The sequence below is a fragment of the Homo sapiens genome, chromosome 1 (assembly GCF_000001405.40).
Source record: "Homo sapiens chromosome 1, GRCh38.p14 Primary Assembly".
Classification (NCBI taxonomy): domain Eukaryota; kingdom Metazoa; phylum Chordata; class Mammalia; order Primates; family Hominidae; genus Homo; species Homo sapiens.
Genome location: NC_000001.11, coordinates 171,572,713 through 171,595,317, shown reverse-complemented (window position 1 = coordinate 171,595,317; position 22,605 = coordinate 171,572,713). Strand labels below are relative to the sequence as shown.

Below are 22,605 nucleotides of genomic sequence, written 5' to 3'. Positions count from 1 at the left end.
AGCCATGGACAAAACTACATGGCCAACTGCAGAGACACTTATATACATTATCTTACTTTCATTCGATATGCTTTTGGTGCCATTTTTCCATTGTAGGTTCTAGCGAAGGACCCAAAGTATTAGTGGTATTTTAACAGTTAATACAACCAAATAGCACATGCCTGCTGGTTTGCAAGTGGGGGTAATGCAAGCTGTATAGCTGGTCACCCATTAGGTCTTAAAATTTAGGAGGATTAAACTTAAAAACTAGAATATGAAAAATACTGACAATGGCAGTGACTTAGTAAGGCAAGTACTTGATTCCCATTCTTATCCATCATACCTCTTCCCCCAATCCCCTGCAATAAACCACAGCTTTTAATTTAGAGCATATTTTGAGAAAAACCCTAGACTGAAAACTTGGATCAAGGCAGGGCCTATTAATACGTATCAGACCTGGTGCGGTGGCTCACGCCTGTAATCCCAGAACTTTGGGAGGCTGAGGCAGGTGGATTGCTTGAGCTCAGGAGTTCAAGACCAGCCTGGGCAACATGGAGAAACCCTGTCTCTACCCAACACAAAACCATCAAAACTTGAGTATCTTGTGTTTAACAATCGCAGTATCCATGAGTTAAGAAGGCACATGCGTCATTAGTGACTAAATGACTAGTTTTCTCAAAGCTGGGTCTGGAAGCCGTATGTTCTGAACATGGGATTAAGTAATTACAATCCCTCAGTATTTCATTTCATAAATTGAGTAAATGATAGAATAAATGCCCTATAGCCTTTTAGGGCAGGTGATGTTCATGAACATGCTAACAAAGCTATGAAAAATACAAACATAAATAATACTGAGATCTATTTTTGGTCCTTCAGCTTCTGACCAAAAGATGGTGAAACTCTTCTACATCTGGCACTGTGCATCAAGAGAATTTTACTCCTTGACATCTCCTGCTTCGGCCTCACAAGTAGCTGGGACTACAGGCATGCACCACCACGCACAGCTTATTTTCGTATTTTTAGTAGAGACAGGGCTTCACCATGTTGGCCAGGCTGGTCTCGAACTCCTGACCTCAGGTGATCCGCCCACCTCAGCCTCCCAAAGTGCTGGGATTATAGGCATGAGCCACCACGCCCGGCTGACAGATTTGTTTTCAATATGAGTTTGGCTACTTCAGAACAGGGGCCATGACTATCTGCCATGACAATAGTTACTTTAGTTGAATGATCTCCAGAGTTCTTCAAAGTGAGAAGTCAAGGCTTTGGATGATAATCCTTTTCTAGAGTATAATGTAATTTTTTTTTTTTTTTTTTAAGACGGAGTTTCACTCTTTTGCCCAGGCTGGAGTGAAGTGGCTTGATGTTGGCTCATTGCAACCTCTGACTCCCGCCCCAGGTTCAAGCAATTCTCCTGCCTCAGCTTCCCAAGTAGCTGGGATTATAGGCACCTGCCACCAGGCCAGCTAATTTTTGTATTTTTAGTAGAGACAGGGTTTTGCCATGCTGGCCAGGCTGGTCTCAAACTCCTGACCTCAGGTGATCCACCTCCCTTGGCCTCCCAAAGTGTTAGGATTACAGGCATGAGCCATTGCTCCCGGCTGTATAATGTACTTTTTTTTTGTATTTTTAGTAGAGATGGGGTTTCACCATGTTGCCCAGGCTGGTCTCGTACTCCTGAGCTCAGGCAATTCACCCGCCTCGGCCTCCCAAAGTGCTAGGATTACAGGCATGAGCCACTGCGACTGGCCAGTACTCTTGACCACTATTTTTAATACATGACAAACCCTCTTGCTTCAGATTTTAGGAAATGATTATAAGCTCCAAGAATCATTATTTAGAGAATACTTTATTAGTTTCTGTAATCAAACCCATGTAGATAAGACCTTACATATTTAATACAGTGCGTTACCCCTGTACAAATGGAAAAAAATTAAGTTTAACGTTTCTAGACCAATATGGCTGTTAATTTCTGTACAATGCCAACTCAACACAGTAAACCGGGATACTTTTTCCAAAGTTGACAGCACAGCTAAAGTTTCCAAAAATTCAAATTATATATATATATGTATATATATATATATATTTATATAAAAAGACCAATAGCAGTATGTTATGCATCAATAGCAGCAACAGCTTTTCCAGGTTCTGCAGTCATCTGAATAAAATTATAGAGACATCCAGCACACTCCATTTAAAAAAAAGGGGGGAAAAAGGTAAAAAACAAAACCCCAGAAAATTGCAAAGTTCTGTTACTGTTGTGGTACCTGGCACCGTTTTTTAAAATTAGCTTCTGAATCATCATCTGGAAAGAAAACATTCTAGAATAACATCATTAAAAACAGCTCTGATAAAGCACGGTCACTACTACGTATCATAAAGCAGGTACAAGATATTTTACATTCACAGAGGTATGATACAGTACTGTCCTATATCTATAATACTAGAGGATACAATTAAAAAGGCATTATTTGAGACTTGATTCTACTTTTCCAGCAGAGGGCCCAAAGGATGGCATGACACAGCTCTGTAAAGAAATGCACCTTCTTAGGATTTCCTTTAATTAGTGGCACAGTTCTAGGTACTCACTGTTCTTCATAAACACCAGCTAAAAACTGGTATAAAAAAAAAAAGAAAAAAACCCCCAAATCATGGGATTCATACAAAGATGACTGAGTGGGGGCAAGGAAGACTCAACCTAACCAGCATTTTACCAAATCTGTCATGTTTGAATCGTGAGAGCTCCATGGAAGAAAGGAGATGCTAAGTAGCGCTTCAAAGCTTCAGACCACAACCAAAACACAGCACCATTTCAAATAGAAGCAGTAGCCAAACACTGCTCACTTTGATATGGTTCAAGGATGCTGACATCAATATTTATCTGCTCATTCATCCAGGAAGAAGGGGACATCAGTTACTACTGTACTTTGATTGTGTTCAACTCAATCACCATGTTATAAAAATAGCAAGCTGCCATAATAAAAAATAAGGCTCCTCTATCCAGCACCAGTTATCTTCAGTTCTTTACCTCCAAGCCTACAAATGCCATAACCATATCCGAAGAACATAAGGGAGCAAAAAAACCGCATCTGATGTAGTAGCTGGGACCATCACACTGTTCAGGCTGAGCTATTCCTCTGCTGTGTTATTTTCCTTATATTTTTGGTGTTTCATCTAATCATAAGGATTTTTAGGTCTAAATTATATGCACTCAAAAAAATGGGTGCATACATTTATATATAAATTCTGACTGAAGATGCATGGCCATCAACCAAGCACATGTTATATAGTAGGTACAAGCTTGCAAAGCCTCGTTTTCACTGGTACAGCAGCTGTGTGTCAGTGTAAATTGCTCCTATGTCCCTTGTACATCTCCAAGCTCTGAACAGGATAATGTCACAGGCCATTTTGCCCCTTTGGCTGCCAGCATTATCTGACTTAATTCTCCATGTTTTCCCGCCCCCCTCCCAATCCCCTGCAATAAACCATAGCCTTTAAGATTTTGTTTCTTCGGTTTTGATCGCCTGAGGTTTGATTGGTCCAGTTCTAACAGGTTTGGTGGCTATGGAGGGTGCAGGGGGTGGCTTTTCTTCTACTTTTTCCTGACAGACCCCAGGAGGGTCGGTCAGTGTTTCAGGAGGTTTACTTGAATCACTGTCCACTTTCTGGGCTTTGCCTCCTCCTATCTGTTTGCTCTGTTGCTGTTCAGAGAAGAACCGTTGCGTGGACTGAAGAACCTCTGCTCTCTGCTTTGCCTTAAAAAATGAGAAAGAACAACTGAAAATACTGCAGCATTACCAAAGCCTGTCAAATCAATCTTGGTTCAAATTCTTTTACCAATCACAAATCAGTTTTCCCCACACTGGTTTGGCCAAAGCCAAAAGTACCTCATTGATCTTTGAGCTTTTAATGAATAGATTTCTTCCTATTTTTGAAATATTTCATGTGATTTAAAAAAAAAAAAAAAACCACAGGACCACCTCCCACCACCTTTTCAAGGTCTGCCCTCTCATATTAAATTTTATTTAGGGAACCTGCTTGCAAATCTAAAAACATACATGTAACACTTAAAACTTCTAGTTATCAATATGTGGTCTACAATAAAATGAAAAGGAAGCACTTATATTGTGGCATTACCAACACCTAGGACCAAATGTCTTGTGGCTGAGTCCTCTTCCCACAGCTCTCTTCTGCAGGGGAAGAGCATCAGAAATTAGTAACTACGACTTCACTTGATCACTAAGTTCTGATAGCTCCTACCACATTCTGAGCTGGTAAATAATTTCTTAGTTTTGACTATGTGCCCCCAAAAATATACTTACGTCAAATCTGTAAATTTTACCACTGTAACATTCACAATTAAAACTTAAGTTTCCATCCTTCTTGCATATTAAAAAAATGCTTTATGTTCTATAGGTAACCTGTACTATCCAAAGATCTGAAGCAATTTTCAAGAAGTTTGTACCCTCTCCCACCCCATTACTACTATTAAGCTCTAATGTTATTTCCAACATGGGAATATGCGAAAATCAAGAGCCAAGGAGCCAGGAGTAGAACTGGAATCCAAGGCCAAATAACTTCCTAAGATTTTTACTCACACTGGTATTTCTAATTATAACAAACAGATGGAAATCCTAGGCATACAGCCTTAATAAAAGTAGATAATTATTTAATAAAAGTTTTGCTGCTGGGTAGTCTTTAAATTTGATTACTCAGGATCAGAAACACTAGGGATGTCGACCCAAAAAGACACTTTAATCAATCAATCAAATTTTCTAATAGGATTATCATAAACATGTTTCTAATTCAGAGTAAAGCATTACTATGCACATTTCCCTGTTTGAAAGCAGTAAGCTTTTCTTTGTTCTAGTCTGATCTGATGACATATGTAGTGACAAAACAGGCAAAAATTACTAAGATCCCTGAAAGTCAAGCCTAAAGTAAATATAGAAATAAACGGATTCAACTGGCTGTACTGGCAGACATGTAAGGTTTATGCTACAAAACTGTCCCCACACAGACTCCTAAAGGCACTCTTTCTGCATTAGCAAACCTCATGTTTATCAGTGCCTTTCATCATGAAGGATCCCAAAGTGCTTTTCTGAGTTCTTCATCTATAACTGCACAATCCACTGTGGAATACAACCACCTCATGTGGTAGGCCAATAAGGGTATGAAAACAGTTTGAGAAGAAAACTGTACTTTGATGACTCATAATGGAAAAAAGTACTAAGATAGTAACACATCTTACCCATTCCAGAGTTTTCATATAACCATGATTTACATTTTAAGCTGCTGGGAGGAGGAGAGTCAGGGGAAAGGGGGGAAGAAAATATATATTAAAAAAAAAAAAAAAAAGAAAGAAAATGGGGAAGTCTATAATAATTGATATTACTTCTTTGCTATTCCAAAAAAAAGTGTGCATCTAAACTCAGATCTCCCTCAAATATTTATTTGATAACAATTCATTTGGCCACAGTTTAAGACATTAATTCATTTCCTGACTACAGTTGCAAAAAAAAAGAAAAAGAAAAAGAAACAAAAAGAAAAAAAAGATGAAAGGAATGGGAATGGGGGAAAAAAAAGAAAAAAAAGGGGGAATGAATAAAAGTAGTTAGCTTGGTTAAGTCTGCTAAGACAATGAATGCCTGGATATACAGTTATGGGTCCAGAGGCATTTTAAGACATGGTTCAGAGACAGATTCTTGATCTGTTGGCTGTTAACACTGTACTAACCTTCATGTCTTGTTCAGCCTTCAACGCAGCCTGGGCCTGATTACCTCTGACTCCAGATAGTGATCCACAAGGACCCCTGGCTACATGTGGCAAACGAGCATGGCTCATGAGGCCTGTGGTCAGCGGAGGAGGCATCTGACTGGCCAGTGCCATTGGTGGCCTCTGAACAGGCGCTGGGAAGGTGTTAGTATGTGGGGCTCTTACCAATGGAGGGACCAGGTTAGGCTGGGAGAGAATCTGAGTGAAAAAAACAAAACATACAACATTGAACTGTTAAAAAAAAAAAAAAAAAAAAAACTGCCAACTAGACCAGGTTGGCTCATCCCAGAGTAAATCTGTGCCCATCCTACCAGTGAAAGGAAGTGTACAGATTGTGCCATTCCATTAACAAGGACAAGGAATAAACAGGCCATGCTTGGAGAGTTTAACAGAAAAACTAGGCAAAGCATGCTATGGCACTTCAGTTGGTCCTAGCATCTCAGTTGTAAATTCTGAAGGGGGGATAGAAAGACTTTTAATTAGGCTATCTTTTCAAAAGGTAGTTGCAGAAAAGGCACACACCTGTAACAAATGTAATCTGAAGATAAATAAAATCAATACTAATTCAACAAATGTGAATTTCTCAGGAACCAGTTCTAGTTTGTGAGAGTTCTTAGTCCTTTTATACGATCAGCAAGGGGAAGAGAAGCCAACATTTTTTACATATATTAAAACATCTTTTTGGAAATTTTATCTCAATTGCACATAAATATCTTAACAACAACAAAAAACAACTTTAAACCTAGAAAACTTCAAGCACTGGGACCCTTCGCTGAAAAGTCAACTCCTTAAAAAAAGTTAAAAGGAAAAGGACTCATTATCAGAGCTGTGTGGGGAATCTTTTAACTATTTCTCTTGTCTGCTTTAGAACTAAACAATTACCATGTCTGGCTATAAATCGCAGACTATCTTTATAAAATAAATTTATTGTTAAATTCAGAAACAATTTTTTATTAAAAACTGTACTTCTTAACTGGTTAACATAAGGCAAGATAATAATTTATCAGATTAGCAACTATTTTTAAGTAAATAATACTCATTTCTTAATTATGTCTGCCCACCTGGGGTGCAAACTGTGTAGGAAATGGTTGTGTCATTCTCACAGTGGCAGGGGCTGACTGGAACTGCTTCTGGTAGACAATGCTGTTCATTTTGCTGGACTGGCTGTTCGGACTTGTAGAAGTAGCCCTTGGAAAGAAGCCATTACTAGTCAGTATAGTAATACCAAGTAAATAATGCTGTTAGATTTTTGCAAACACCGTTCTTGGTATTTTCATCATACTTGGTAGTTGGTAAAAATTTACTATGATGATTACCAAAACATTCTGGTAGAAGAGAGACATTGGAGGAGCAGAGGTAAGAAAGGATACCAGTTACCAGTTAGATTGGCTGGTTCGAGACCAGCTTGGACAATATTTTTTTAAAAATTAGCCAGGTGTGGTGGCACGTGTATGTAGTCCCAGCTACTCAGGAGGCTGAGGCAGGAGGCTTGCTTGAGCCCAGGTGTTTGAGGTTGCAGTGAGCTATAATCATGGCACTGCACTCTAGTCTGGGTAACAGTGTGAGACTCTGTCTCAAAAAAAATAAAAGAAAAAAAGGTTTGCTCTGTAACAAAAGAATTTACTTAAAATATAGTACAATAAACACATTTTAAATAATTTAAAAGCTTAACATTTTAGACAAAACTATCAAAAAGAATGTCTTAATAATTCCTTTTCTGCTTGGAAAAGGGATTATGTCACACAGGACTGATAAGTATTTAACAAATAGTGACCAAATTGGAATTTCATAAGCAAATTTAAATGCCCATTTTACCGGAAGGGACTAGATGTTGGTGTGGTGCTTCTACCAGCGATTGGAGGTGTGCCTGGTTTTATATCAATGCCACTTCCAAAGGCTTTTAGTTCCATTTCAGACATCTGAGGAGAAGCATAAAATAAACTTAACATTTCTTTAATTCCACAAGCTAAGTGCTGTGTTTACATGTCCTATACGTGAAGACGTAATCTAGGAAAGGGCAAAGAACCTTAGTACAAAACTCCTATAGTTAGGCTTCAAGTATTATGGAATTACCTGACCAAACAGACTTATAATTAAATAAGCCCAAGAGACACTATAAATCCAATTCTTCCAATAAATTTGTGAATTCTTTGTTATTAGGTAAAAACTAGATGGGGCCAAACACATTAAAAGTAAATAGATAAAATGTAAATATACTGGGGTTTGAGATTTTTGCAGGGTGGTAAAAACTGACGCATTTTAGTTTTTTAGATAACACAGATGCATATATCTGAACACACTACCTTAAATTCTCAAATAACCTGTGCAAATGTCTCTTTACTTACTTTTCCTGTGGTTGCAATCATGCTATGCTGTGTTCCAGCAGGAATTAATCCTCTGAAAGGCTGGCTTACTTGTGCAGGACGACTCAGACTCTGAGCCTGTGCTTGGGGAGTGGTATGCTGTAATGGGGGCTGAAGAGTCTGAGGCAAAGCAATTAGAGGTTGCCCTGTAGATCCAAAATTAGGCAAGGAAAGCTGCGATGCTGGTAAAGGTACTGTAACCTAGAAAATAAGTAAAGAGAAACTGAAGCAATTTGTTTCTGTTTACTACAGACATATCCATACAACTATACACAACTCTTCAAATACTTTTGAGTAAGATTTCAAACAGAACACATCGGCCAGGTGCAGTGGCTCATGCCTGTAATCCCAGCACTTTGGAAGGCCAAGGCGGGCAGATCACGAGGTCAAGAGATCGAGACCATCCTGGCCAACATGGTGAAACCCTGTCTCTACTAAAAAAAAAAAATACGAAAATTAGCTGCATGTGGTGGCATGTGCCTGTAGTCTCAGCTACTTGGGAGGCTGAGGCATGAGAATCACTTGGACCCAGGAGGGGGAGGTTGCAGTGAGCCGAGATCCTGCCACTGCACTCCAGCCTGGCGACAGAGCGAGACTCTGTCTCAAAATAAAATAAAATAAAATAAAATAAAATAAAATAAAATAAAATAAAATAAAATACATAGAACACATCCATCTACTAATATATTTCACATATTTCTTTTGCTTAGTGATGACAAGTTGAGTATCTCTAATCTGAAAATCAAAATCCAAAATGCTCCAAAACTTTCTGAGAGGCTGATATGACACCACAAGTAGAGAATTTGACACCAAGTCCAGGCACGGTGGCTCACGCCTATAATCCCAGCACTTTGGGAGGCCAAGGTAGGCAGATCACTTGAGGTCAGGGGTTTGAGACCAGCCTGGCCAACATGGGGAAACTCCGTCTCTACTAAAAAAAAAAATAAATAAATAAATAAAATAAAATACAAAAATTAGCCAGGCATGGTGGTGGGTGCCTGTAATCTCAGCTACTTGGGAGGCTGAGGCACGAGAATCACTTGAACCTGGGAGGTGGAGGTTGCAGTGAGCCAAGATCATGCCACTGCACTCCAGCCTGGGTGAGGGAGACTCCGTCTCAAAAAAAAAAAAAAAAAAAAATCAACACCTGACCTCCTGCGACGGATCAGTCGAAGTGAGGTCAGAACTTCTGTTTCATGCACAAAGTTATTTAAAATGTTGCTTAAAATTACCTTCAGGTTATATGTATAAAGTATGTATGAAACAAAGGAATTTCATGTTTAGACAGGCCCCTCGCCCCAAGACACCTCATTATGTATACGCAAACACACAAAAAAAAACCAATCTGAAATCCGAGACATTTCTGGTCCCAAGCATTTCGGTAAGAGACACTCAACCCTCAACCGTATCTCCATTCTTCTATTAAAGGTACAACATAGTTTAGTTAATGCTACTTGTAGTGAAGAGAATAGAAACTGAAAGAATTAGGACTATCTTTGAATTTATCCACAGGACATGTCAAATAATCACAAAGTAAATGAGGACACAATATAAGCAGTATTCACAAGTTTCCAAACAGACATTTTACATAATACTTTCAAGGCTGGTCAAAATGAGCTATGAGAAGAACAAGAATCTCTCAGTTTTCACATAAACACTATATTTAATCTGAATGTCAATAAGATATTCATGAATTATCACTCCCTAAAATAGCAAACAACAACAGTTATAAGAAAATGACTAATGACTTTGTTCCCCCACCAGCCCTCCACCACTTTTAAAGAATAAGCTAATGAAATTATTAGAGATAGTTTTAAACGTACCATATACTTTTCACTGAAAATTATTATTGCATTCATACACTTAAGAAAGTGTTTGTCATTTATGCTCGATCACAGTCTGCCACACTGTTGTATGTATAGCTAACCTGCCAGATGGTCTTTGGGAGGCTTCTCCCTAGCACTAATGGGTAAACCACCTGTATCACACTTAATGTAACTATATTCTGGACAATGGTTTTCAAGGTTTTATATTCATTGAATCCTTTGTTAAAATAGAATAAATAATTACACGGAAACCTAAGTTGTTTTTTCCCCCTTAATTAAAAAAAAACAAAAAACAAAAAGCAGCCAGGTGTGGTGGCTCAAGCCTGTAATCCCAACACTTTGGAAGGCCGAGGCAGGCAGATCGCTTGAAACCAGTAGTTCAAGATCAGCCTGGGGCAACATGGCAAAACCCTGTCTCTACAAAAACTACGAAGAAAAATTAGCCAGGCATAATGGCGTGAGCCTGTAGTCCCAGCTACACAGGAGGCTGCGGTGCAAGGATCACTTGAGCCTGGGAGGTTGGGCTGCAATGAGCCATGATCACACCACTGCACTCTGGCCTAGGTGACAGAAAAAAACAAAACAAAACCCCCTAAACCAACAAAAAACCTGGAAGATATAAAAAAACAGGAATGACTGAAGTAGGGGGTGATGGTGGTGAGAAGGGGGGTGTCATGAGCCTGAAACCCCTTCTACGTGGACCCAGTGGAATTCTTCAGGACATCTCAGTGAACAGTTTAAAAACCATCCTCCATCTTGCATCTTGGTTCAATTTAAATTCCCAAACAATAACAAAAGCAATAAAAATAATAATAAAGAAAATTGAGGAAATTTACCATGCCATAGTTTACCTGCTGGAGAGCACTTGGTGACTGGGCAGTGTTATAAAAATTTGTCTGACCAGGCTGTTGTACTTGTCCAGAATAAAGATTTGAGGCCTGGGTAAGATTTGCTCTGGCCTAGAAAAAATTTTTTAAGAAAACATGAGTAAGACTGAAAAAAATTTCAAATTCAGAGGTGGAGATTATGACTTCAAAGCAATGTCTAGCAATTTTTAGTATTAGATAAATGAAAGGACTTTGTTTTTTTCATTGCATCTTCTAACATGTTTTCTTTTAAAAATGTTTCCTTAAAATGATCTGTGGCATAGGAATACAATGAGGGTGCATTGCTCTAGTCCCCTGACTTACCTGGAGAAGATGTGTGTCAATCAGCTGGGAACCTCCTAGTCCTGATGCCTGCCCCAGTTGATGTTCATACAATATAGGAATGGGCTGAGTATTTGATGTTTGCTGAAAGGCAAGACCGGATTGTGCCTTGGCAAGTTCTTGGTGTTGGACAGTTGGAAAGTTGTGAATAGCAGTACCAGAAAGGACCACAGATGGCTGGGATAAACTGCTTTGCATAAAAGCTGGCTGAGATCTACATAAGGATTAAAGAGAAAATATTGTTAGAAGTTAATTTCATCTGGAATCTGAAAATCTTAAGAATGCAAATCCCAAATGACCCAATACAGTCATGTGCTGCATGACATTTTAGTCAACAACAGACCACATATATATTGATGGTCCCATAAGATCATAAGGAAGCTGAAAAATTCCTATCACCTAGTGACATCATAGCTGTTCTAATATCATAGAACATATGACTCAAGTGTTTTTGCTGGTGCTAGTATTAAATATAAACAAACCTACTACACCTACAGTCCTAACAGTTCAGTACATACAGTTACATACAGTACATAATATCTGATACTGATAAAAAGAATTATGTTACTAGTTTATGTATTTACTATACATTTTCTGGTTATTTTAGAGTGTACTCTTTTTACTTAAAACTTATAAAACAGCTTCAGGTAGATCCTTTAGCGGGTATTCCAGAAGAAGGCATTGTTATCATAGGACATGACAGCTCTGTATGTGTTACTGCCCCTGAAGACCTCCCAGTGGGACAGGATGTGGAGGTAGATGAAAGTATATTGATGATCCTAGCCCTGCGTAGCCTAGCCTAATGTGTGTGTTTGCATCTTAGTTTTTAACAAAAAAGTTTAAAAAGTTAAAAAAAAATTAAAAAATTAAAAAACAGAAAAACGTTACAAAAGAAAAGGCCAGACATGGTGTTCATGCTCATAATCCCAGCACTTTGGGAGGCTGAGGTGAAAGGGCTGCTTGAGGCCAGGAATTTGAGACCAGCCTGGGCAAGAGAACAAGACATCATCTCTACAAAAAAATAAAAAATTAGGTGGGCATGGTAGCAAGTGCCTGTAGTCCTAGCTACTTGGGAAGCTGAGGCTGGACAATGGCTTGAGCTCAGGAGTTCGAGGTAGTGAGCTGTATGTGCCACTGCACTCCAGCCTGGGTGACACAGACCTTGTCTCAAAAAAACAAACAAAAAAAGAAATACTTCTGTGCAGATGTACAATGTGTTTGTGTTGTAAGCTAAATGTTATTATAAGAGTCAAAAAATTATAGTAAGTTGAGGTTAATTTATTATTGAAGAAAAATTTGTTTTTTTTTTTTTAACAAATTTAGTGTACCCACAGTGTAGTATAGAGTCCACAGTAGTGTACAGTAATATCACTCGCCACTCACTCACTGACTCACCTACAGCAACTGCCAGTCCTGCAAGCTCCATTCATGGTAAGTGCTCTATACATGGTACGTACCATTTTTAATCTTGTATGCTATATTTTTATTGTACCTTTTCTGTTTAGATTGTTTAGATTTCTATGTTTAGACACAAATATTTACCACTGTGTTACAACTGCCTACAGTATTAAGTACAGTAAAATGCTGCACGGGTTTATAGCCTAATTAGACACAATAGGCTGTACTCTACAGCCTAGGTGTATAGCTGCAGGCTATGCCACCTAGGTTCCTGTAGGTACACTCTATGATGTTTGAAAAAGGATGCATACTTCAGAATGTCTCCCCATCACTGATACTTGGATGCACTCTAATTAGCTCAGAAATCAAGAAAAGAGGCAGAGAATACAGACTGTGTCTAAAGCAACTTATTTCAAGATTTAAAGCCCTGTATACAAGGAAGCTTCACATGTAAAAGTTCTGTGAAAAGGCCTGTTCTCCCTAAGAAGTGGATTGCTCTTTCCTTTTGAACAGTGAGAATAATTCTCTTTTTGTGTTCACTACAAAGTTCAGAACAAAATCTCTTTTTCTCTTTGGCAACATTCTAATTCATAGCCCCAATAGCCCCAACTTTTCTTATTTGTATTTCATTACTTCCCCACATATATTTTTAATATAAATGGCCTAGCCTCAAGATCTCCATGGAATAAAGCACAGTAGTAGCTCATGTCAGAGTTACCCATGAAGATTAAGCAAGCAAACAAACAAACAAGAACATAAACCAAAACCAAACCAAGCCAAAACACACCCCCTCAAAACAAAACCACAATATGCCAGAATCTAACCCCAGACTTCCCTATCATCTGAGATGGATGCCTCCAGTCTACACTTTTAAGATGCAGAGATAAAGAATAAGCACCTAAATCAAAAGTAGTGGGTTAAAGAACATTATGCTTTGTTGCTTTGTTAAAACTGACCTATGTGGCAGGAACAAAAGCCACTAAGGAAGAATGCTAGTCTAGGATCATAGCAGTCTTTACAATACCTACTTATAATTTATGTTTCAAACACGAGGTAAGAAAACATGAATATACTGCTATAAACTATCCTGTCTTTGCAGAAACCAGTTCAGAGATTCCCTAATAAACACTATGCTGATTAGGTTAAGGAACAAGCAAGGAATGTTTAGGGATAAAATAACTGCTTTCAAAATCTAAACCTGTACTTTCCAATGTGGTAGCCAAGTGCCACAATTATATATGTGTCTTACATTTTATTTCTATTGACCACGTCTGGTCTTAAAAAGTATATCTTCCAAGACAATTAGTGAAATGGGGATTACAAATATAGTACATTGCTACTCCACCTCCCACGGCCTGTGGAAAACATTACTAATTAATCACTGTACTCTTTTTCACAGTACTGAAAAGCGGTTGCAAACTTTTCAACAGTGTTTCAAGCAGCCAATACAATTTAAAAGGAGACTGGCTTGTGAGATTAAATCTAGCTGCTATTCCTGTGTCAGAAATTTTCAAGTTTTATTTTTAATATAAATTCCAAGATAATCCCAAATTCAATACAAGACTTCCTTTAGCTTCTAGTTGGGGCTTCTAACGGGAGAAAATAACGAAATTAAATGAGAGTAAAATGAGGAGGGAAGACCTACAACAGCTATATAAGTAATGATACAGGTGTCTTAAATTTTACTAAAGCATCTTTAATCAAAAGGTAAAAATAAAAGCCACATTTATGAGGTTTACTAATGACTAGGCTCTCTGTTAAGAAAGTTTCATTAGCTGAACCTGGCTTCTCTAGGAGTATCATTATGGTAATATAAAACATACTGTATTAACTGATGACAGGTTTAATCTATAAAGTATAGAAATTCTATCTGAACCCACTTCTGAAAACAAATTCCTAAAAACAAATGCACAGCCTTCCTAAACTAAGTGTCCTGAATGTAACTTATTTTTCTTTATGATGATTTAAGGCCACCATCATGAGTATGGATGACAGCTATGCCATGATGCACTGCTCCTACTATCTGACTCTTACTCACTCTTCTTCCCTCATTAAACTGGAAACCAGAGACACTGAGGGTCTGCCACTTTATGTATAACCTCAGGTTAAAACAAAACAAAACAAAAAAAGCCTCACCCTCTTCAAGTCCTAACATCCACATGTTAAATGAGGGTGACTTATCTTAGGTGGTTGTGTGAAGACTAAATTTAGTTAATGTATGTGAAAGGCTGAATATCTATCATATATAAGGAAAGTTCAATAAAAATCAGTTTTCATTATTTCCCTAGTTGCAAAGGTAACTTACAGTGCATCTGAGTGAATTTTTGGAAAAAATGCTTTCTTCACTACACAGCATATTTATCATCATTACTTCCATGCTTTGATATTTACCCCTCTCTGTTCTGTTATATTCCACCCTGCCCTGCACCCCCTAACATGATGTAGTTAACTGCCATGCCTCAGCTCGTACATAGAGGAGATTCAGATTTATAGTTTTTGGTAGCCAGATGGCACACATACTTTTAGGTTCTTTAGCAGCTACTTTCTATAATTTCTAACAGTTTTGGGGTTGCTGTTGTTCACTACTTCAAGAGGGTTTGAAACCTGACATTCTTTAATAAGATATGGTTGAAATTACCAGAGGCTGAGGTTCATGACATATAATCAACATGCTCAATTAGCCAATGTAGTTTATAGCAGAGTCATCCTAGGTTTTTTTGGGAAGGAACAGTATGGATTACGGCAAGGAGGATCAGCAGTTACAATGTTTTCAACATCATTACAAACATAACTTTTAAAGCATTTACCTATATGGTTGAAGTGAGGAGCTGAACAATTCCTGAGCCTGGGAAACAGCAGGGCCAGCCCCCAAACTCAGTTGGGCTTGATGCTGCCCTTGCAGTGGTGCATAAATAGGGATTGGAATCTGCTGAACTGAAGTTGGCTGCAATGCATTGAGAAAGTATGTAAACATATATATCAACATCATACAGATAAATCATTAACACTGGAATATAAAAATTTGAGACATGAAAAGAGTAAAATTAATACTATATATCAGCTCCATTTTAAAACAAAACTGAATGTAAACATCTAAATTTCCCTTTCAACCCACTACTTATTCTACATTATTACTATTAAGCTTTGGTAAATTTGGGAAAAATTTTAAATTTTGCTTATAGAATATCAAGCTAATCGTGGGTAGCTTGTAATTTCAGAGTCTATTATTTATGTTCCAAGATAACTATTATAACCACAGAAATGCGAAGGAACAAATACAGGATGGAAGAAGTCTTTGATATTACCTGAGAGAGACCTGGTTGGAAACCCTGTTGTTGAGCCAAGGATGGCGGAGCCAATCGTGCATGTTGGGTATTGAATAAATGACTTGTGTCCATATAGAAGGCTGGGATTTGAGCTGTAGACCATCAGGATAAACAAGCAGTAGTAAGTGTCCTAATTTCAGAATTTTCCAAACAGTAAATAAAAACCAAGTTTTGTAGCAGATTCCAAATTAAGTGCACCCTCTGAAAATACAGCCATGGAAAAACTAAAAACGTGACAAGATGCAAATGTGAAAAGATGGAAAACTTCTAGTAGACAGGTACACACAAACATAACTAGTACTTGTGAAGGCATGAAAAAAAAATTTATATACCGCCAATGGGGTATAGATACGCAGATTTTGTCAGTGGTAAAATTTCACATAATCTACTAAAATTGAAAATGAATCTACCCATTGAACCAGCAATTCTACTCCAATTTTAAACCTACCTACTAGAATCTAGCAAAATATTTAGAGGATTGACATTTAATTTTAAAAGTTTGGTATAAATTTTAAACACATTTCTATGTATGATACATAATATTTGGTGACTTGCTGTTTTTTTTTGTTTTTGTTTTTTGTTTTGAAACAGTCTCGCTTTGTCACCCAGGCTGAAGTGCAGTGGCACGATTGATCCCAGCTCACTGCAACCTCCACCTCCCGGGTTCAAGCGATTCTTGTGCCTCAGCTACCTGAGCAGCTGAGTGTGCGCCACCACGCCCAACCAATTTTTGTATTTTTAGTAGAGACGTGGTTTCACCATGTTGGCCAGGTGGGTCTTGAACTGCTGGCCTCAACTGATCTGCCCGCCTCAGCCTCCCAAAGTGCTGGGATTACAGGCGTGAGCCACGGTGCCTAGCTGACTCGCTGTTTTTATATAGTAGTATGTTCTGCAGAACTCCACATATTATTACGACGAGACAGGGCCTCACTCCGCCAGGCTGGAGTGCAGTGGCATGATTATCACCTGGGTTCAAATGATTCTCTCACCTCAGCCTCCCAAGTAGCTGGAACTAGAGGCATGTGCCACCACATCCAGCTAATGTTTAAAATTTTTTGTAGAGATGGGTCTCACTATGTTGCTCGGGTTGGTCTTGAACTCCTAGGGTCAAGTAATCCTTCTGCCTTGGCCTCTCAAAGTGCTGGGATTATAGGTATGAGCCACCACACCCAGCCTATATATTGTTTTTAACTTGTCATTATTAGAAATAATACTGCAATGAATACCCTTACTTAATCTCTAATAGCTTAAATGTATCCATATGAGATTCCTAGTTATGAAACTGTTACTACAGTAAGTATGTACACTTATATTTTCCAAGACACTTTTAAAAAGAATTATGCCAATTTAGGCTGGGTGAGGTGGCTCATGCCTATAATTCCAGCACTTTGGGAGGCTGAGGCAGGAGGATCACTTGAGCTCAGGAGTTCGAGGCCAGCCTGGGCAACACGGTAAAACCCGTCTCTACCAAAAATGCAAAAAAAAAAAAAAAAAAGAAAAATTAGCTGGGTGTGGTGGTGTGCTCCTGTGGCCCCAGCTACTTGGGAGGCTGAGGTGAGAGGATCACTTGAACCTGGGAGGTGGAGGTGGCAGTAAGCCAAGACCGCGTCACTGCAATCCAGCCTGGGCAACAGAGCCAGACACCATCTCAAAAAAAAAAAAAAAAAAAAAAAATGCGAATTTAAATATTTACAGCAATGTACTTTAAGAGCCTTATGCTTAGCTGAAAGGGTAAGAAGAGACAAAAATAAGCATTTTAGTAAGTCTTCATTTTCTAAATTCCTTATATTCAAGCCTAAAAACATTACCTGCTGCAGACTGAGACACATAAACTTGCGGATTCTGTTGCTGCTGGGCAATAAGGGAAGGCATACAGCTTAACTGTGAAAAATGACTTGCAGAAGGCAGGCTGCTTGTCTGTAACTGCTGAGGTTTCACTTTACAAATATTTGGAGGGTCCGATGTGGTTGTAGATTTTGTGCTCAAAGAAGAGGTAGTGTATGTACCAGCTCCTATATTTGGGGAAGCAAATAAAGGGGAAAATAGAGCATATTTAAAAGTGTTGCTATTGTTCACAGTACCAACCAGAAACTGCAAAATTAATGTTTCTACCCATCACGTACTTATATACTGCTTCAGGCCAAAAGTAGATGAGGTAGCTTATAAAAGAAAAGGTAATTATCACCAAATGTAAATATGACTAGAAAATATGGAACAATAAACAACAGAAAATCAAAACAAGAAAGAAACAAAACACAAAATTAATAAAATGAGGCTGAGAGCCTATGTAACTGTTATAGTTTAGCCAGAAATGATTTGTTTTTTAATCATCACAAAGAATAGGATATATAATCAAGAGCTTCATTCACTTATGACCACAGATATAAGGACACAAAAGAGAAAAGTGCTATACCTTAGAAATAATTATGAATATACATGGGCCTTGAAAGATCTCAACTGGTCCTAAAATGTCACATAAACTTAAGGCTGGATTTCTCTCTCCTGCAAAAACTGGCACATGTTGAGGCCAGGAGTATAAGACCAGCCTGGGGAACATTGTAAGATCCTGTCTCTACACAAAATTAAAAAATTAGTTGGGCATGGTGGTGCCTGTAGTCGCAGCTACTTGGGAGGCTGAGATGGAAGGATTGCTTGAACCCAGGAGTTTGAGGCTGCAGTGAACAGTGATGACATCGCTGCACTCCAGCCTGAGCGACAGAGCAAGACATCAACTCTTAAAAAACAAAAAAAACCACACAACTCCAAAAACAACTAACCAAGAAACAAACAAAAACAAAACAAAACCACCTGGTATATAGTAATACCTTTAAAACAAATTAAATAAACTACTTAATAAGTAAATAGAATTATAAAACTTAGGTGTTAGGGTTAATTTGTTTTATTGATTAGTGAGCTATTATGACTTTAGTACTAGCCCAAAATGTCAATACTGGTATTTGATTAAAAAGTAATGTATAAGTTGTCATTATCTTCAGATGATGTTCCACCTGAGAGTGGACCAAAATTCAAGTGCTTCTATCCTTCTAGTGAATCATCTACCAGTAGGATGACTAGGCAATAAGGGCCTTGTTAAAAAAATTATCCTAGTCAAGCACAGTGGAGGAAATCTAGACCTGGGGAAACGGGTTAGTTGGGTTCCAAAGAAAGAACTAGGAACCATTATTTCCAGATCTTCCTACCATACTCTCCTGTTTCCTTTACACCACCTTCACTAACCCCCCCATCCCAAAGTGGACTGGGGCTCAAGCTAGTCTAGTAAACATAAGTGAAGATGCCTTGGCAAATGAGTGGTGGAGGAATGCTAGGAAGGGTTTTAAAGTGAAAAGAAATATAGTTGGAACACAGTTTGATTTAAAATGTTAATGCAGCGTAGAATCTCGGGAGTTTGTGTTAATATATACTTCTGATTACAGACAATATCAAAATAACTTGTATAAACCTAAGACCAGCTTTTTGGTACCTAAAAATAGCACGGTGGGCTGGAATACTAAAAAGCAATATTGAATGAGAACCAGTCAAACAAAGTAATTTATATCACTGGAAAGGAGCTTCCTACTGCTTTGGAAGCAGATAATACTGAGAAAGCTTGAAATTAAATTTTATTTTTTCAACAGAAGAAACTTGGTTCTACATATGGTAAAAGGAAAAGGGTGTACTTTTCTAGAGTCAAGCATTTTGGAAACATCTGTGTTTCTTTAAGAACCGTAAGGCCTCCAAATAATGAGATAGTTCAATGAAAAGATTACACACTAGTAAAAATTTAAGAAAATCTAAGGAAAAAGAGCAAGAAAAGCACCTTCTAACTTTGGGCACCAAAGGACTCTCCTAAAAAACAAAATAAAACAAAATCCAAACCAAACTAAAGCCAAATCCAATGAATTACATCACTCAAATAGCAGAGGCTGAAAATTCTCCATCCCTAAGTCTTTACCAGAAAATACGTTATCCCAACAGGTTTAGGCCAACAGCACCTTCAAATTAGATACAGATTGTCAAACATTTAAAAGAGGTGTGATTCTCTGTTCTTTTTGAGCTGATCTAGTTAGTTGTACATACATAAAAAATGACAATCAAAAGGTGAACTTCCTAGAAAAATTTAGAGGAAAATGACATTTTAAAAAGCAATTACTGGCCACATGTGGTGGCTCATGCCTGTAATCCCAGCACTTTGGGAGGCTGAGGTGGGAAGATTGAATATTACTATTTTCGGAGGGCTAGAGATAGTAAACAAGAAGAGATCATAAAAAATTTTAAATAATGTAAGATATTTAAAGAAACAGAACGAAAAAGTTCTACCTGATAGTGATGCTGTAGGAGTGACTGAAGCAACAGGAATCTGGGGCATGGATGCACTTGAGAACGAATTGTAATTAGCAGTGCTTGGTCCACTGGCACTACTGCTGACTCCAGTTGCAATTGGAGGTGCTGTGGAAGTTACTGGAGACCCCTTTTCCCTTACATTTGGAGAATTCTCCCATGCTTTGCGTGCAGACTCCATCTGCAATAAAACGGACATTTTATAGTAAAAAAATGATGTTAATACAGAATATACGTATGTATATACATGTATCAGTATTTAAGTGCCAAATATAATCTTTCAAAAACCACACACACACAAAGATATTTAAAGAAAATCTAAGACCCTAAGACCCTAGGGATTTCAGACTTTCCATTTGCCTCTTTATCTTTGCTCCATTACTCAAATTGGGAGTGTGAGAGTGTATCATTTAAACATGAGCCCTTATCCCTACCAGTGAATAAGGAAAGGCCTTCCCCCAGTAAATATCCATTCTCTCCATTCTTTCTTTTTACTCCAATGCTTCTTAAATGGCAAATGGCAGGCATCTTTTGGTTGGCTGCTTCATGCTCACAGTGTTTTAAAAGGCAAGGTAACAAGATAGGTTTTAGGCTTGGGTGCAATAGAAATGCTTTTGTTTCACATCCAGATCTCAAGCATTTCATGTACCACCAGATGTAACCATTTGCATTTATGACCCCTGGTTTCAGCTGTATTTTCTTCTCCTAGTTTCTTAAATGGCAGAAAATGGCCTTATTTCAATCTAGAGCAGCACTATTCAGTAGTTTTCAACAGATACATATCTAAATGCAAATCAAATATGTAATTTTAAATTTTCTAGTAGCTACATTTTAAAAAGTAAATACAAATAGATTATATATTTATTTTGAAAACATTTAATTCAACCCAATATTTATAATATTATAACTAAAACACTAATGAACATAAATTGATATTTTATAAGTTTTTTTAATATTAAAATTTCATATGCAGTATACATCCAACATAATCTATAAGATCCAGCTGCAATGACTTATGAGAGAGGAACTTTTTCAAGTAACATATTTAATATCACTGTTAGGAACTTTGTGAGTCCTTAAAGTATCAATTTCTAAAATTTTATTTTGGTTATAAGAATTTTGAGAAATAGAGGCCGGGTGCGGTGGCTCACCCCTGTAATCCCAGCACTTTGAGAGGCTGAGGCAGGCGGATCACGAGGTCAGAAGTTCGAGACCAGTCTGGCCAACATAGTGAAACCCTGTCTCTACTAAAAATACAAAAAAATTTAGCCGGGCGTGGTGTGCGCCTGTAAATCCAGCTACTCGGGAGGCTGAGGCAGGAGAATTGCGTGAACCCGGGAGGCAGAGGTTGCAGTGAGCCGAGATAGCGCCACTGCACTCCAGCCTGGGCGACAGAACGAGGCTCCAACTCAAAAAAAAAAAAAAAAAAAAAAAGAATTTTGAGACATAGTACATATTTTACCCTGCCTTCCTTTAAAAACACACTATTCATAATTTAACCTTTTCTTAAGACTAATTGTTATCATTAGATATTTAAAATACAGAACTTTTATATTTGAGAAAAATCTGAAATCTTTTCTTTTTCTCAAAATCACTTGGTTGATTTCAAATGTGTTTTATTTTAAAATAGAAGTCTTGGGGGAATTTAGGAAGTAAGCTAGAATATAATTTACCTGTACCATCTGAGATTTTGTGGTTTACGGCAAGTTGACAGAGTACAATGTCTTTTATGCCAATTTTGTTTTACTGGGAACATATAAATTAAGTTATAGCTAATCAAACTTACATAACATACAGGCCACAAGTTTGACTTGATTCCATTCCTTAAGCAGAAAGATAATTTGAAGTTTTTATTTTCGGAAATTCAGTGAAACTAAAAGTACAATTAGTTAATCATACTCATTTTTTTCATATTTTGTCAATGATGTCCATAAAAACTTAATGTCGTCAATAGGTTCTTGGAAACTGTGACTAAGCCCAACAATGTATAATCAATATTTTTTCTCATACACTTTAGAACAAGTGGCACTGAACCAAATGATGCTATTCTATGGATCCATCATACAGTTTTGCTTAAAGTTGCAGTTTTCATGAACCCACTGATAATAAGTAAGAATTTACTGTGTAATATAACTTTTCTATGCTTTATGTATTACTCCAACAAAAAGGAGATGGCAGAGGAAGTAAAAATAAAGAAATCAGAGGTTTTAAGCTAATGTAATTTGACTTAAATTTAATTCTCAATGTGTATATTTCTTCTTGGAATGTTAAAAACATGAGTGAAAGGCAAAGTTGAATAGGTATTCTAAAGAAATAAATACTGGCTTAAAAATAATTAAAGATGACATTATATTTGCTTATGTGAAATTAGATTATTTACCTTGCTAGTATAATG

The 22,605-nt window shown here is 37.7% G+C and overlaps 1 protein-coding gene across 18 annotated transcripts in view; it reads right to left on the bottom strand.

The window, feature by feature from the left end:
• Positions 1-1,806: 1,806 nt before the first annotated feature.
• Positions 1,807-22,605, bottom strand: part of PRRC2C (proline rich coiled-coil 2C) — a 107,982-nt gene continuing 87,183 nt past the window's right edge. For 4 of the 18 annotated variants that reach the window (XM_005245015.3, XM_005245018.4, XM_005245016.6 and 1 more), the window contains exons 25-35: positions 20,190-20,391; positions 17,681-17,884; positions 15,852-15,964; positions 15,354-15,490; positions 11,131-11,362; positions 10,777-10,899; positions 8,097-8,315; positions 7,567-7,670; positions 6,813-6,939; positions 5,713-5,949; positions 1,807-3,731 (exon numbers count right to left, since the gene is read on the bottom strand). In XM_005245015.3, coding sequence (XP_005245072.1) covers positions 3,471-3,731; positions 5,713-5,949; positions 6,813-6,939; positions 7,567-7,670; positions 8,097-8,315; positions 10,777-10,899; positions 11,131-11,362; positions 15,354-15,490; positions 15,852-15,964; positions 17,681-17,884; positions 20,190-20,391 — 1,959 coding nt within the window. In that variant the 3' untranslated portion in view covers positions 1,807-3,470. Of the gene's footprint in view, positions 3,732-4,113; positions 4,167-5,712; positions 5,950-6,812; positions 6,940-7,566; positions 7,671-8,096; positions 8,316-10,776; positions 10,900-11,130; positions 11,363-15,353; positions 15,491-15,851; positions 15,965-17,680; positions 17,885-20,189; positions 20,392-22,605 lie in introns of those variants that run through there. The other 14 variants (NM_001387844.1, XM_006711238.5, XM_005245024.3 and 11 more) reach the window with 12 other exon arrangements.